Source organism: Homo sapiens, chromosome 5 (assembly GCF_000001405.40).
Source record: "Homo sapiens chromosome 5, GRCh38.p14 Primary Assembly".
Taxonomy (NCBI): Eukaryota; Metazoa; Chordata; class Mammalia; order Primates; family Hominidae; genus Homo; species Homo sapiens.
The window spans coordinates 4,756,684-4,774,903 of NC_000005.10; the positions used below are offsets into that span (position 1 = coordinate 4,756,684).

At 37.9% G+C, this 18,220-nt stretch overlaps 2 long non-coding RNA genes across 4 annotated transcripts in view; one reads left to right on the plus strand and one right to left on the minus strand.

Annotated features, from left to right (window-relative positions):
* LOC107986400 (uncharacterized) overlaps nt 1–18,220 on the minus strand; it is a 137,038-nt gene that overhangs the window by 26,468 nt on the left and 92,350 nt on the right. Inside the window, exon 3 of one of the 3 annotated variants that reach the window (XR_007059113.1) lies at nt 16,965–17,154. The exons of 1 other annotated variant lie outside the window; for it this stretch is intronic. This is a non-coding gene — a long non-coding RNA (uncharacterized LOC107986400). Of the gene's footprint in view, nt 1–16,964; nt 17,155–18,220 lie in introns of those variants that run through there. One more of the 3 variants, XR_001742563.1, reaches the window with a different exon arrangement.
* LINC02114 (long intergenic non-protein coding RNA 2114) lies at nt 16,798–18,182 on the plus strand. Its single transcript, NR_104619.2, has 2 exons — nt 16,798–16,969; nt 17,554–18,182. It is a non-coding gene; the product is annotated as a long intergenic non-protein coding RNA 2114 (long non-coding RNA).

Here is an 18,220-nt window from a genome sequence, read left to right on the forward strand (position 1 = left end):
TGATTTTCTCCCCTTTTATTATTTATTTTATTCTCCTTGTTTTATGTTTAACTTGGTCTTTTTTCTCTAGTTGCTGAACACTTGATTTTACGTCTTTAATATTTTCGAATATATGCACTTAATGCTATACATTTCTCACTAATCATTACTTTTACTATATTCTACAAACTTTCATAAGTTTGTTTTACATATTTGTTTAGTGTTACCTATTTTTAAATTTATTTTGAGATAAATAATTCTGTAATTCACATATTATTTAGAAGTACACTGTTTGATGTTCAAATATTTAATAATTTTCCAGATATTTTTATTATTGACTTATAATCCTATTGTGTTCTGAAAAGATAATCTATATGGCTTCTATTTTCTTGAATTTCTTAAGGTATAGTTTAGGAACAAAATATTGTCTCTTTTGGTGAGAGTCTCATGAGAGTATGAGAAGAATAGCTATTCTCCTGTTCTTGGGTGCAGTATTCTACAAATGTTAATTACATCAAGTTGATTGATAGTGCTGCTCAAGTCAACTACAACCTTATTGACTTTTTTTTGGCCTGGTTGGTCTATCAATTACTAAAAGATAAACTGAAGTCTTCAACTATAAAAGCAAATTTGTCTATCTGCTCAGTACAATCTGTTTTTGTCTCACATATTTTAACACTATTGTTAGAGCTTCATATGTTAAAGATCCCTACGTCTTTTTGGAAAATGTGTCCTTTTATCATTAAATAATACCACTCTTTATTCCTGGCAATTTTCCATGATGTGAAGTCCACTTCATTTAAAATTAATATAGCTATGCAACTTTCTTTTGAAATATTCTTCTCCCAGATTGGATAAGCTCTGCTAAGTTCTTCCCCCCTGAAAAAAAAAAAAGGCCTTTTTTAATATAGTGAGCACGGGGATTATTTTACAATTACTCTTCTCTTCTCTCTGCCACAGTTATGGGAGGATATTTTTCAGATCTTCATCATAAGAACCTGGTAGAGTCCCTGGAGGTAATTTCCATGAATATGTCTCTCCTCCCCAAACTGCAGTCCATACTCGTCCTCCAGCAATTTTTCAGAACTACTAACTTTTCCTTCCAGTTTATAGTTCCAGCATCTTCTGCTGCAGGTAAGGAAATATGCGCTGTGACTCTGGAGTCATCTGTGTCTTCAGATGTCATGGCGATGGTTTTCCCTGAAACCTCAGTTTCATGGTAAGCACAAAAAAATTACGTGAATTTTAGTTTGTTCAATTTCTCTGTTGGTGTAAGGACTGAAGTGACAGCTTCCAAACTCTGTATTTTGTGGCTACAAATAGAAATCTATAATAACCTTTTAAATGTCTAATAATTCTGATAGCTTTATCAATTCTGGGTTGGTTTTAATTAACTGAATCATCTTTTTATTTTGGGTTATATTTTCCTGCTTCTTTGCATACTGATAGCATAAACATCTATTTTGCCTCCGGATGTGCTGAATATTTTTGTATCCATATAAATGTACATATATATGTGTGTGTGTGTGTATGTATTTTACATTTTCTTGTATCTGATATGTACCTAAATTTTTTATAATCATTTGTTCTGTTCAAGTCTTGCTTTTAAGATTTTTGGGGATGTTCAAGAGCAATATTGAGTCAGGAGTGGTTTTTGTTTCACTACAATGACAACATTTCTCTGATTATTCTATCTCATATATTTGCATAATGAGATTTTACAGGCTGTCTGCAGAAAACAGCACTAAGGCACTATTTTTGAGTGTGCAGCAGTTACCTATAACTCTTTTATAGTTTTTTCCCCATTCCCATGTAGTCTCTTCACACACACGCACTAGTAAGTAACCAGCTGATCACTGAGTGTATCATTTGCAGATCACCAAAATTATCTTTCTGGAAGTTCTCTTCTGTTTGTTTGAAAAAATAAACAAATAAACAAATCAAACCCTCTAGAGAAGTTAAATTTAGCAGAGTTTATTTTAGCAAAGAATGATTCATGAGTTGAAGAGCACTCAGAACCAGGAGAGGTACAGAGAGCTCCACCCAGCAACGTGGGCAGGCAGTATTTACAGAGAGAAAAAAAAGGAAGTGGCAGACACAACAGCTTGATTGAATACAGCTCAACATCTGCCTTATTTGAGCATGGAGTGATGAGGCATTTGCCTTACATGAACATGATCTCATAAGTGGGCATCCTGTCATTCACCAAAACCCAGCTGCCATGATTGGCTGGGACTCGAACATTTGCTACAATAATATACTCTTAGGTTGTAGTTTATTTCTTATTAAGTTAGGTTGTAGCTTGCTAAGTGTAGAATCAAGATACCGAGCAAATTTAGGCCAGATTTAATTGAACAATTCGTGCCTTTTGGTCAGCCTTTTAATTCTGAAAGATTCACCAAAACCTTGGGCATTGAAGCCACACCCTGTTACCATGGTAATTGACTTGTTTGGACTTAGTATGGAATTCACAATTCATGATGGCAAGCCAGTTGGATGATTCTTTTAACACTCTTTGTATTTTCATTATTCTAACTGTGGTAAAACAATTTGATGCATAACAGATGCCTCTGTACAATCACTTAGGACTATTGAGGGAGTGGTGCGCCAGGGAGACTATCATAATGGCTTCCAGGAAGATGATTCGAAAAGACTGAAGCATGACTCCTTAACAGTAGCTACCATAAATAGAACCAATCTGAACAAAAAATATCACAAGTACCCAGCAAAGTAACCTACTTGTTTATACCAAGTTGTATGTTTGTTGATTTCTTGCAATTGAGTTTTTACCATACCAGATGTATTTATCCAGGTGTATTCGTATACACTGCCATATGTTTAGCTGAAACATAGTCCAAAGAAATTATGTTATCCAAAACAGTATTAGCAGGATAATTTAAAGAAGTTTTTTGGACAACTATAACCTTTGCAGTTAAGTCAGATGTAGTAGCTAATGTTTGAGACAGATTTCTAACTATAACATCACTTACATTTATGCCAAGCCAGAGAAGGATGTTTTTTTTTTTTTTTTAGATGGAGCGTCACTCTGTTGCCCAGGCTGGAGTGCAGTGGCACAGTCTCGGCTCACTGCAACCTCCCCTTCCCGTGTTCAAGCAATTCTCCTGCCTCAGCCTCCCGAGTAGCTGAGATTACAGGCACCTGCCACCACCTTGGCTAATTTTTTTGTATTTTTAGTAGAGACAGGGTTTCACCATGTTGGCCAAGCTGGTCTCAAACTCCTGACCTCATGATCCACCTGCCTCGGTCTCCCAAAGCTCTGGGATTACAGGTGTGAGCCGCCACACCCAGCCTGAGAAGGAGCATTCTATGAAAAGATGTCCATTTGTAGGAATTTCAATTCATTCAAATTACTTTTTATTCTATACTGCAAGTTAAGAAATGCAGACCAACATTCAGTGTCTAGTTGATTGTGGAGTGAGAGTAATACCATTAGAATTCCTAATCTACATTGGATCCTTATTTTCCACTTACTGAAACATGGAATGTGTGAATGGTTAAATGATTATTATACTACTAAATCCTCCACAAATAAAATTACATTCTGGAGGGACATAACAGACAGTTCTAACAGACAGTTTCCTATGGGGATAACTTGTGCATTAGTAGGCACCAGTAAGAAAGCACTAGTAATACTTATCTAAGGGACCATTATTGAATTATTGCATGGTTGGTGGCTACTAATAATTAAAAGGTTGGAGTTACAAATCTGTCTACAAACTGTTGAATTATCTTTCTTTTCTTTGTTGGTATTCAATTTCTGGCCAAATTTAACAGCAAAGCCCTCAGTATAGTGTTTACCTACTGTTAGCTTTAAATAAGGAATCTGAATATGTAAATCTAAAAGTCTGACACTACAGAAAGCATCAAATATCACACTGGGAATATCAGCAAAATATGTTATACAGTGAACCAAAGGATACCTAAGATCATGGAAGGGTTTAGGTTTAACATGACATATCCAACATTCATTCAGTTAAGTTCTCTGTGGAAGCTATCAATGATAAAATCTTAATTTTCACATTATCTTTCCATGTATAGACAGAAGATAAACAGTAGGAAAAGAGAAAAATTTCATGGTGACTGTAGACAGACCCTTGGTCTGTGATCTTGGGATAGTTGTGTACTTCGGGGATGTTTTCTTCTTCTAAGGAGAAGCCTCCCTGGTCAGTTTCACCTTGATGTCTCCAGTGTGTGTATGGTCCCAAGAGTCTAGAGGGGCTCTTTGAGTTAAGAGATGTGGATACAAGACTTGAGTCTCTGAAGTTTTGCTGCAGGGTAGAACTTGGCATAGTTCCTTTCAAGAGAGTTCAACTGTGGTCTTTCTCTGGTGTTGTTTCCAAGAGACCAAATCTGCATGTTCTAGGCTGTGAAAGGTCTGCCTGTCATCTGTTCATGGGTCATGAAGAGCTTCTTTTACCTGGAGAAAATATACTTGGCCTCGTGTATGAAAGCTTTAAAATACTGGTTCATGTCAGTTTATAAGGGCATGAGGTACATAAGATTTTATTATTAGAAGAATAGGTACTCCAGTCACTATTTTATTGGGGTCAATTTTTGCTTTCCAGTGGGAATGAATCGGATTACCATCAATCAGGAATAACTCTGACCAAGGTAATGCAATTATGCTAGCTTTGCAGGATGACATAGTGTTTGTAATACCTTATTTGACTATTTTATACCTTCTCCACTGAAACAATTATCTCTAACGATGGAGATTTCTCCAGGAATATCCCATAAAGGAAACACATTTTTTTTTTCCAACAATCTTTTAGGTACCACTTTAAAAGTGTTTTTTCTGCATAGGGAAGTTTCTATACTACCAAAAACATACACAGAAGAAGGCAACTGAATGAATCCACTTGTGTTTGTTCAAATAGTCCAGCAGATGATGGAAACGTGTCACTTGAGGATTTTGTTGCCTTACTAGAATTATGGACTTGACAAACCAAAGATTGATTATAAACAACTTTCACAATTTTAGATAGTCACAAAAACATATTTTTATTATTCATATTATTTTATCCACTCCAAAAGGAGTTGGAACGCAGAGCATTTAATAATAGAAGTGTTACATTTATGCCAAGACAGAGAAGCATTTTTTTTTTTTTGAGATGGGGTCTCACTCTGTTGCCCAGGCTGGAGTCCTAAGTGTTAAGAACTCGAATAACCAGGCTACCATCCAGGCTTTCCATGAACCCACACTTTACATTGAATTAAAATCCCTTTAAACACTAGCTTTGTTTCTCCAATTCAGGTGCCTAGCGGTGTTTATTAAATATATTATCATAGGTGATTTACTTGGATCAATCTTATGAAGTTCATTCAAATTGCACATCTTAATGATTTCAGTATTGGCTGAGTTAGCATGAAAATCTGTCAAAACATTTCCTCGGTGATCAATTAATTCTTGTCTTGCTTGGTGTTGGGTTAGCAGTTTCATGAAACCACATTTTTCTGTTAGAGTTCTGAAAATTCTTACCCAAGACTAGTAGTATGATTGGATTTCTAAGAATTTCATATAAATTTTGAAACACATATTACCCAAGTGGTAATTTAATGACTTCAAACAAGAAAAGTTACACAGTTGTAGAAAAATTTTAACTTTTTTAACAGAGATGTCTCAGTTCTCTTAAATTATCATTAATCTACTAAAGACAAGATGAAGCACAGGAAATTATATTGGTAAAACATAAATCTTTTTTCCTTTGGCCAATTATCTAAAAAATAAAGAAAAACCTCTCATAATTTCCTATTAAGAAAAAACCAATACTAAAGAAAACCTTGTTCTTTTAACACAGAGGACCAAATTCTAGTTCTGCATTATTATACTTTATTTATTTATTTATTTATTTATTTATTTATTTATTTATTATTGTTGAGACAGAGTCTCACCCTGCTGTACAGGCTGGAGTTCAGTGGTATGATCTCAGTTCACTGCAACTTCTGCCTCCTAGGCTCAAGCGATTCTTGTGCCTCAGCCTCCCAAGTAGCTGGAATTACAGACGTGTACCACCGCACCCAACTAATTTTTGTATTTTTAGTAGAGACAGGATTTTACCGTGTTGGCCAGGCTGGTCTCAGACTCCTGACTTCAAGAGATCCACCTGCCTCAGCCTCCAAAAGTGCTGGGATTACAGGCATGTGTCACCTTGCACAGTCTGTATTTTTTATATTGATGCTTAATTTGTAGAAAAATTTATAACCAAGTACCTTCTAATCTTAAATAGTTTGATCACATATAAAATTCCTTTTGTTCGATTCATCTTTCACAGATCTTTTTAGGCTTTCTTAACCATTCAGATTTTGTCCTACACTTCTCCTCTTCTTATTTTTGAACAACCCATCCTACTAATTTTGGAAAAAACTTACTCTTTTCTATTAAAAAAAAATCTGCTTGCCTTATAGCTTTTCCTTACCAAAATCACATCTTACCTGTCTTGTATACTTGCATACATAATTTTATTATTTCATATATATATATATATATATATATATGAATGCTTAACTTTTAGCAACTTTATTTTCCAGTGAACTCTAGGAAGCAAGCAACTGCCTGTCACACCAGCAAGATGCAATGTGTAGATTGGCAAATCTATGAATCATAACTTCTAGAAGTAGATGTTCTTCATAGCACATTCAAAAGCTAGCAGAAGGCAAGAAATAACTAAGATCAGAGCAGAACTGAAGGAAATAGAGACATAAAAAACCCTTCAAAAACTCAATGAATCCAGGAGCTGGTTTTTTGAAAAGATCAACAAAATTGATAGACCACTAGCAAGACTAATAAAGAAGAAAAGAGAGAAGAATCAAATAGACGCAATAAAAAATGATAAAGGGGATATCACCACTGATCCCACAGAAATACAAACTACCATCAGAGAATACTATAAACACCTCTACGCAAATAAACTAGAAAATCTAGAAGAAATGGATAAATTCCTCGACACATACACTCTCCCAAGACTAAACCAGGACGAAGTTGAATCTCTGAATAGACCAATAACAGGATCTGAAATTGAGGCAATAATTAATAACTTACCAACCAAAAAGTCCAGGACCAGATGGATTCACAGCTGAATTCTACCAGAGGTACAAGGAGGAGCTGGTACCATTCCTTCTGAAACTATTCCAATCAATAGAAAAAGAGGGAATCCTCCCTAACTCATTTTATGAAAAAATGCTCATCATCACTGGCCATCAGAGAAATGCAAATCAAAACCACAATGAGATACCATCTCACACCAGTTAGAATGGTGATCATTAAAAAGTCAGGAAACAACAACTGCTGGAGAGGATGTGGAGAAATAGGAACACTTTTACACTGTTGCTGGGACTGTAAACTAGTTCAACCATTGTAGAAGTCAGTATGGCGATTCCTCAGGGATCTAGAACTAGAAATACCATTTGACCCAGCCATCCCATTACTGGGTATATACCCAAAGGATTATAAATCATGCTGCTATAAAGACACATACACATGTATGTTTACTGCTGCACTATTCACAATAGCAAAGACTTGGAACCAACCCAAATGTCCAACAATGATAGACTGGATTAAGAAAATGTGGCAATACACAATGGAATACTATGCAGTCATAAAAAATGATGAGTTCATGTCCTTTGTAGGGACATGGATGAAGCTGGAAACCATCATTCTCAGCAAACTATCATAAGGACAAAAAACCAAACACCACATATTCTCACTCATAGGTGGGAATTGAACAGTGAGAACACATGGACACAGGAAGGGGAACATCACACTCTGGGGACTGTTGTGGGGTGGGGGGAGGGGGGAGGGATAGCATTAGGAGATATACCTAATGCTAAATGACGAGTTAATGGATGCAGCACACCAACATGGCACATGTATACATGTGTAACAAACCTGCACGTTGTGCACATGTACCCTAAAACTTAAAGTATAATAATAATAAAAAAAAGTTAGCCATCATCTCGTTATTAACTATAATATAGAGATAAAACAAGCTTATTTTACCAGTAAACATAGGTAAGAAAAGTTGTATGTCTGAATTATATTTAATCCTGAAAACTCTGAAGATATAACTGTTGTAATCAAATCAACAATATTCTCATTTACCAAAGATTACCTAATCCACATAAACTTGAAAAGATTTAGGGTTACTTCTTATTGTTCTGAGAAAATAATTAATATAAGCATTTATTCTTATTAAGTCAATTAAACAGAGCTTTTATACAATTTAATTTTGGCAATATCATAAAAAGATAGCAAATTATTACACATATATATATCATACATACAGACATATATAGCTATATAGACAGGAACAGATCTCATAGCTGCCATTGTGAAACTTTAGCCACATCCCAGGTACAATAATACAAAGTTCACTAATTTACTAAACAATATTTGAATTCATTTTTTTCCAGCAGAGTTTTGGGGAATATCAAGGATCATGACAACATAAAAGAGATGGGCAGAGCTGGCAGAATGTAAAGTCAGCAAGGTTTTCAGAAAGGGGATCTCAGCTGACAGTTTCCCATGGGGGATGTAGGGTCAAACAGAAGGGCACAGAGGACTAACTCTTACAACTATTTTTTCGGCAAGTGGTTCAAATGTCAGTCGGACGGGCTTGGTCACAGTGACCTTTCAGACTTGATTTGAAACCTTCACGACAGTAATATTCTTGATTTTTTTTTCTCTGAGAGAATTGCTGATTATTTTCCCAGGAATGAAGCCACTGGGGGCTACCTCTAGTGGAGATAATCCAAGCTAAACAAAGTAGACCCATCAGTTGACTGGTGTAAAATGGACAATTTCTTCTCCAATGGTTTGGCTGTTTACAATTAAGGTAGACATCTCAGGGCACAGGGGTCTTTAGTTTGGGATCCCTCTGTTTGAGTTTGCATATGGAAGTCCTCTTGGTCCCTGCAGCTGTAAAGACATGCACCTGTTTGCCTTTTATAAAAAGTGTATCCACTGTGATCCGTGTAACTTTGAGTTACTTTTACTAAGATTCACCCATTTCTCCAGAAAAAAACAAGTTCTGGGTGCATAGTTCTTCTACATAAAATCGGCAAGAGTTCCATACTCCTAAGATCCAAATGAATCCATGATTCCCTGTCTTCTAGTAACCTTGACTACCTACTTAACCTAGTCCAGTGTCTGCCTGACCCAGTCAAACACCAGAGACCTCCTTACAGGACTCAGTCTTATTACTATCACAACTTCCAAATCAAGTATTGATAAAAGATACTCAAATAAACTCAGAGCGCTAAACATGTAAGTTTGTGGATCTAGAATCAGAGAGAAAACTAACCCTTGACTCCAGCCGCCGCAAGATATGAATGGGCAAAACGGGCCCAGTAGGTATCTTCCATTGGTCACCTACTGTTCCTGGGGGTCAAGGGAGATTTACTTTGGATGTGACCTCTGATGCCTAAATTTTAAAAGAATAACTTTAGATAAGTTAAATTTGACAGGGTTTATTTGAGCAAAGAACAAGTCATGCATCAGGCAGCATTCATATCCAGGAGTGGTTCAGAGAGCTCTACCCAGCAACATGGGCAGGCAGTATTTACATACTTAAAAAAAGGTAGTGACATACAGAAACGCTTCATGGATTACAACTTGGCATGTGCCCAATTTGGGCCTAGTGTAATCATTTGGCAGGCTGTGATTGGCTGAAATTCAGCTACTAGTTATAAAAACATATATTTTTAGGTTAGACTGTGGTTCTCTAGGGATGGACTCAAGATAAAAAGGCTTTAAGCCAAATTTAATTTAATTTAACTTAACCCTTTTCTCCAGGACTATCAGGAAAACTACAGCAATCTTGGTTTTCCTGGATTTTCAGGTTCATCTGCTCAACACAGGGAGACTATCAGGCCTCTCCTTGGTGCCCCCTACCTGTATTGTGGTCTGAAAACTCCCTTGAGGCAGACATGCAGCCAAACTTAGGGTTCAGCTTGCTTGTTTCTCAGCTCTCAGGAATCGCCATTCTGTGTGTGTGTGTGTGTGTGTGTGTGTGTGTGTGTGTGTGTGTGTGACAGAGTTTTCCTCTTATCACCCAGGCTGGAGGGCAATGGTGTGATCTCGGCTCACTGCAACCTCTGTCAGGTTCAAATGGTTCTCCTGCCTCAGCCTCCTGAGTAGCTAGGATTACAGATGTGCAACACCACACCCCACTAATTTCTGTATTTTTTAGTAGAGAAGAGGTTTTGCCATGTTGGCCAGGCTGGTCTCGAACTCCTGACCTCAGGTGATCTGCCCACCTCAGCCTCCCAAAGTGCTAGGATTACAGGTGTGAGCCACTGTGCCCGGCCTTTTTTGTCTTTTTGTAACTGTTTTATTTCATTGAGAGGAACGTCTTAAAAGTTTATCCATGTCGTACTATGTATCAGAATTTCCTTCCTCTTTAAGGTTGAATGATATTCCATTGTATGTAATTAGCACATTTTGCTTATGTGTTCATAGACACTAGGGTGACTTCCACCTTTTGGCTATTGTGAATAATATTCCTGTGAACATGGGTGTACAGATATTGTCCAAGTCCCTGCTAGGAGGATTTGCCCCAGAATAGTGGCTTCTTGAACTTTAATGTTCATGTGAATCACCTAGAGATGCTAATCTCATTAAACAACCACTGACATTCTTCACAGAATTAGACAAAACTATTTTAACGTTTATATGGAACCAAAAAAAGAGCCTGTATAGCCAAGATAATCCCAAGCAAAAAGAGCAAAGCTGGAGGCATTACGCTACCCAACTTCAAACTATACTACAAGGCTACAGTAAGGGATCTCCATTCTTCTTGCTTCTTGTCCAATGTCTTGAAAACCACTGTTTTGTGTATTTTGTCTGTTGTTTTTTAGGAGAGGGTAAATCCAGTCTTTGTTACTCCATCTCAGGTAGAATCATAAATCCCCATGTACATAAAATTTGATCTAATTTATGATGTCACATAAAAGGCCCCTTTACTTATAACTTAAGAATAAATAATAAAGGAGAAGACATTTTTTAATGTTCTGTTCCAGATTCTTAACTTTTGGAAAAGTGGTGCTCAAAAAAAATCTTAGACTGAATTCAGTGTGTGAATTTGGGGACAATTTACTTAGCAATGTTCTAACACATCACTTTAAGGCCATCATATGAAATAATCAATTTAATGCCCACTAAATTGAGAGGGAGGAGACTACTTTCTACTACACACATAGTTAGAGGAAAGCTGAGAAATTACATGGAAACAATTTCACAGCCATTCTTTATCACTTACTCTATGGTTGGCCAGAATGAGAGTGTGTGCAATGGCTACTTGCACAGAGAAGGTGACAGAGTAAGAGAAAGAATGAGTCACGGAATGGTGGACAGAGAGAGAGAGAGTCATCTCTGAACCTGGGTTGCCAGCCGTGGTCACAACCACATTTCCAAGGGTGGCAGCTGCTCGGTGTCATTGTTCTTTAACTTTTTCTTCTCACCATCACCTGGTTCATAAAACCTTTACATAAAGAAGTACCCAAATGTTATCTTTTCTTCTTCCTGAATCTCAACTTTATGTTTTATCTGCAGGCACAGATACTTTGTGCTAAGGCTTGAACTGTGTCCCTGCAAAATTCTTATGTTGAAGCTTCAACATTTGGCATAATGGTATTTAAAGGTGGGACCTTTGGGAGGTAACCAAGGTTAGATGAAGTCACGAGGCTGAGGCCCTCTTGATGGGATCAGTCCCCTTATAAGAACAAGCACCACAGATTTCTCTTTTCTCATACTCCATACACAGAGAAAAGGCCAGGTGAGGACCCAGCAAGGAGGCAGTTGCCTGCAAGCCAGGAAGAGGTCCTCCCCAGGAACTGCCCATCCTGGCACTCTGATGCCAGACTTCCGGCCTCCACACTGGGAGAAAATAAATTTCTCTGTCTCCCAGTCTATGGTACTACTATTTGGGTTATAGCAGCCTGAGCAGACTGATATGCTCTATGTTTACAACTTATATATTTCCTTCCATCATCAGTGAATATAGCCTATCCCACAAGTAATTTTGTTCTTTTAGATGATGCACTGCTGGGCCTTGTGAGAAAGGAGCATGAAGAATGGTGCCCTTCTCCAGTCCTGAGATCAACCCCATGTGGTGTTCTTTGGCCAGAGCCCTTCACTGGATGTATCAGTGGGAAGGCAGGCACTTTCTTATGCTTGTCTCCAGAAAGAGGTTGGATAGAACCATGCCCACATGAACCCAAAAGGGCAGCAGGTTGGATGAAATAGTCACTTTTCAATCTCATATCCAATGGCACAAACAGTTTTGGAAAATGAAGTGTGCACAGACAGACAGGAGGAGACTGAACCCTCCACACTGCAATGTATCTCCTCTTTGTGGATAGGGGAAACCTGGAAACCACAGATCTTCACTGCCTCACCGTCTCCTTCCTCTTCCACTTTCAACACCCAGGAGCTTGGACTTGCCTTCAGCTGGCTCTGATATGCAAATGCTTTCTCCTTCTCCTCCTGCACACTCTTTCTTTTCTAAGAATGTCCATATTTTTCTCTGCTCCACCTAGTTACTACCCAAGACTCCTCTCCCATGTGTCAGATTCAATGTGCTTCAAAAATGTGCAGCCATGATATTTTAGTTTTCAGGTTATAAACTCTTCAAAATCATCAAAAACAAATGTTGTCTCTAAAAATGTCATTGAATATTGATTCATTTACTTGATGGAGAAAACTTCCATGTCCACATATAAATTTTGAAAAATATTTCTTTTTTTACATCAAAGCCTAATGTCAACAAAACAAATAAATAAGCAAACATCTCAGCTGTCTGGGGGAAGAATGCAGGAGTAAACCATCTCCCCAACTCCCAGTCTTGGAGTAGCTGCTGGTTGCGGGGATAAGCCCTGGGCCGCCTCTTTGCAATGAATGTGGCATTAGAGGCACAGGGGCCATGCAGCGTCCCTGTGTGTGAGTGGCAGTGAGTTTGAGAGGGAAGAGTAATTAGAAGAATTCCACTGCAAACGAAGCACACATTAATAACTAAATAAATTGCTCAATTAAAGATCTTTAAATACGTTTAATAAAAAATTTGATCAGCTTGTTGGTAGAAGCATCAACATGTTTGATTTTCTGTTTGTCTGTTTATATCATTCTTTCCCTAATATAGTTTTTGGCAGTATGATAATGCTTCTGCTGTGTTTCTACTGACATACACACATGACTGAAACACGCTGCCTGACATGCTGGCATTACCATGTGCAAATTACAGAGGCCAAAACCACTGTCCAGGAGAGGTGGATGATCAGACCAGAGTTTCTGTGTGCAATTGTGATGGTGATGGCAATCACTCCTGAAATGGAAAAATCTTTAAATTAAATTGTATTTAGAGGTTTACTGAATTTCCAGATCTTTTTTTTTTTTTTTTCATGAAGCAAGTAAGTGAACACTTACAGGATCCTTCTTGAAACTATACAGTAGAAGATTGGAAGTGAGGATACTTTCCATGCAGCTCAAGGTACTCCCCAGACCTTCTATGCCCATGGAGGCCAGAGGCACTGCATGGATGGACCAATACTTCCAGGCCCTTGCTGGAAAGCTGCTGCAGGATACATGGAGCCCTCGAAGGATTATAAACAAGGAATTAGTATGCTGATCAATCCTGTTGGCATCTCCAACTTGGGTTTTGAATTTTAGGTGCAATAGAAAACCAGTGTTACAGTGTTAGATTTTGATATGGTTTGGCTGTGTCCCCACCCAAATCTCATCTTGATTTGTAGCTCTCATAATTTCATGTGTCATGGGAGAGAACTGATGGGAGGTAATTGAATTATGGGAGCAGGTTTTTCCCATGCTATTCTCATGATCGTCAATAAGTCTCAAGAGATCTGATGATTTTATAAAGGGCAGTTCTCCTGCACATGCTCTACTGCCTGCTGCCATAGAAAACATGCCTTTGCTCTTCCTTCATCTTCTGCCATGATTGTGAGGCCTCCCCAGCCATGTGGAACTGTGAGTTCATTAAACTTCTTTTTCTTTATAAATTACCCAGTCCCAGGTATTTCTTCATAGCAGTATGAAAATGGACTAATACAACTTTCAACAGTGTAGTATTTGCTTTCTTCTCATTCTCACCCACCAGCTCTGGGGTGCTCGGTGCACCTTGTCTGCTTGCAGGTGCTGATGTTCTTCCTGGATTTTCATTCCCCAGGTGTCTTCATGACCTGCAGATTCCCCATGCCCCAGGTTCCCATTGAGCACCTTGACAAATAACTCTCTTCATTTAGCAATTCAGTTCTTTATCGTTTTTCAATTTTGGGAAAAGAAAGCAATGACTTTGCCCCCTATGATGTAGCCTGTAAGCATATTCATACTGGATCAAAAAAGCAGATGGTTGTTTTATATCTGACCCAGGTGCCTATGCTCACCTGCAGCACCTGAACTGCTAATTGCATGTGCAAATGTGCAAATTAAGACTAAGCACAAACTTACGACTGTCTGAACTCCCAAGAAACAGCTTAATTTTTTAAAAACAAGTGTTGAGGCATGGGCAAGGACTTCATGTCTAAAACACCAAAAGCAATGGCAAATTGACATTTGGGATCTAATTGTCAAATTGACAAATTTGACAAATCGGATCTAATTAAACTAAAGAGCTTCTGCACAGCAAAAGAAACTACCATCAGAGTGAACAGGCAACCTACAGAATGGGAGAAAATTTTCGCAACCTACTCATCTGACAAAGGGCTAATATCCAGAATCTACAATGAACTCAAACAAATTTACAACAAAAAAACAAACAACCCCATCAAAAAGTGGGCGAAGGACATGAACAGACACTTCTCAAAAGAAGACATTTATGCAGCCAAAAAAACACATGAAAAAATGCTCACCATCACTGGCCATCAGAGAAATGCAAATCAAAACCACAATGAGATACCATCTCACACCAGTTAGAATGGCAATCATTAAAAAGTCAGGAAACAACAGGTGCTGGAGAGGATGTGGAGAAATAGGAACACTTTTACACGGTTGCTGGAACTGTAAACTAGTTCAACCATTGTGGAAGTCAGTGTGGCGATTCCTCAGGGATCTAGAACTAGAAATACCATTTGACCCAGCCATCCCATTACTGGGTATATACCCAAAGGATTATAAATCATGCTGCTATAAAGACACATGCACACGTATGTTTATTGTGGCACTATTCACAATAGCAAAGACTTGGAACCAACCCAAATGTCCAACAATGATAGACTGGATTAAGAAAATGTGGCACATATACACCATGGAATACTATGCAGCCATAAAAATTGATGAGTTCATGTCCTTTGTAGGGACATGGATGAAGCTGGAAACCATCATTCTCAGTAAACTATCTCAAGGACAAAAAACCAAACACTGCATGTTCTCACTCATAAGTGGGAATTGAACAATGAGAACACATGGACACAGGAAGGGGAACATCACACTCTGGGGACTGTTGTGGGGTGGGGGGAGGGGGGAGGGATAGCATTAGGAGATATACCTAATGCTAAATGACGAGTTAATGGGTGCAGCACAGCAGCATGGCACATGTATACATATGTAATTAACATCCACATTGAGCACATGTACCCTAAAACTTAAAGTATAATAATAATAAAAGGAAAAAAAACTAAAAAGAAAAAAATGAATACACTTATGTAATTCATACCCCTATCAAGACAGACCATTTTTAGCACCCAGAAATTTCTCTTGTGTACCTCCCCAGTGAATCCCCTGCTAGAAGGAACTGCTGTTATGATTTTTTCACCACAGATTAATTTTGCCTTTTCTGGAATTTCAAATAAATGGGATGGTATGCAAAAAAAAAAAAAAAAAAAAGAAAAGAAAAAGAAAATATCAACTTTTCATACAAGGGGTTATTTTTATTCAATTCTCTCAATTAAATGCACCAAAACAAATAATCAGATTCTTCCACAGAAAAAATAGCAAAGATGCTGTGATTTATAATGGTTCTAAAATTTTTTAATGCTGAGAAAAAATATAATAGAATAAACACATTGTGGGGAAATAGGCAAATATGATGAATTCACAAACTGAATACTTTAAATTTTTCATACTCAAGAATGTGTGACATCCCACAGTTTGACTGCCAAGTTTAGATGCCAATGGTGAAAAGGGAGGTTCTGTTTTATGAACTGAAGGAATTTTTGTGCTGGTAAATGAAGTCGCCATGCAAAGTTTATAATCTGCTTTCATTGGAGACTCAAACAGAGATGTGTTCTGTGAGTTCCATCCTTCTTAAAATAATTTGTTCCCATTTTTAATGTTGTTTCTTCTCTTTCCTCTTTTTCAGCATAGCAAAAATTGGTTAGCAAACAGACCTGGCTTCTGCAGCTGAAGCCTTCTCTTTTTCCAAGACCAAAACCCAGTAAATGAACAGCATCACAATCCCTGAGCCATGGAGCACATTTTCCCTCCCTTTGCTTCCAGAAGAAAAATATTTAGAGGCTGATCTTTAGGAAACTTTCTCTTGTCAGGTGCCATTTCATCCTCTTGCTGAGCTACCTCACTTTGAGCATAAACCCCATTTCTCTACCCTGTCCTTTCCGTTGTGAAAAGTCTTCACAAAATACTTCAAAAACCATGTTTCAGCCCATGTCGTATGAGTAACCCACAATCTCATATCTGTTATTTGTAGCCAGGATAGTCACATAACTTATCATCAAAACAGGACACTTTTGAGAGTGAACGATGATGATATTAATAATTTTGCCAGGACAACAGGCACAATCCAGAATTTAGAATCATCCAAGTTCTGACCAGATTGGAAGTTCTGGAAAGACTTTACCCATCAAGCCCCTGTGCATATAACCATTTATGCTTCATTAACACAAAGTAAATGCTTCATATTTGTTTATTATCATGATGACCTGCACAATAAGAACCAAAACCAAGCCAGATAGTGTAGAATTGGCCTGTTCAACTGGCAGTATTAATAAACAGCACCTGCAAGAACGGGTTAGTACCAAATAGCAAATGGATCATACCAATTTAATTCTTTACTTGATTCCAGAGTAATTTCCCCAGCAGCAGCAGAAGGTATAGAAGAAAAACCTCTCGCTCAACAGTTCATGCTCTTCTTGTCTTGGTATTGATATTAATGCCAACAAAATTAGTAATTTGACAATTAGTTTCCCACTTACCTGAGGAGACATGAAAGGGAGAAAGAAAGTATTTTAACTAGATTATAATGTGGCTCTGACAAGTCAGGATCCTGTCATGTTATAGCCTTCCAACTTTAACATTTTCATGTCTGCTTGGCAGGTTATTAAAATAAATGAGGGTGCATTGGGCTGCTGCTGTGCATCTCCCTAATGGGAGTTGAGGAATTTGCAAGCCACCAGTGTAAATTGACCGATCTCAGAGACTGAAAAGATTTAGCTAAAGTGGACAATTAGGATCATTTCTGCACAGCTGAATGAAATATTCCTTGTTATTTTAATAATTCAGGCCCAGAGTAATTTTTGGAGGCTGAGTTTGTCAAGATAATGTGCCTTGTGCTTGTCTGCTTGTCATTTTTAACTCAGTCTCACATGTTACAGGTGCAGTCTAGCTTACAAAACAGGAAAATCATTCACTGAAGAATTTGCATATGGAATACAGATACATTGCATGGAAAGAAAGCCGACCTGGAGACTGACAGGCAGCTGTGGTGTGAATGCCTCATGATGGTGAAAGTCAGGATGGTGGATGGATGCTGCATTGCTTTGTTGATGCAGTTATGAACATTATTGGGCAATATGCATATGCAAGTGTGGACCACATTCAGCACATTTACCTTGTGTAACCTACACAGGTTCAGTAAAGAGATTTGTGAGACCGTGATATTCCCCCATGGTAGACCCAAATGCTCGCTTTCAGCTCAGTTTTATCACAGAGACTGAAGGAATAATATCTTTAGCTTTTAATAGCAGGACACATTTAGGAAATTATACATGAGTTGAAGATAGAGAAATTCTGGAACAGGAGAGGTCATCAGTGCATTTCTGCAAGTAGAAGCTTGTTTAGTCAGATAATGTGGTCTCAACAGATTAAAACATCACTTGTGATTAAATTGATTGGTATAAAACTATAAGTGAACCATTCTGTTCGTTCCATGTATTAGATGGGAACAGCCAAATTAATTTGAAATCAAGAAATTATTAAAATAAAATTCTCACTGAAGGTCCAACTTCTGCCAGCCCGTTTCTGGAGCCCTATGCACAGTAT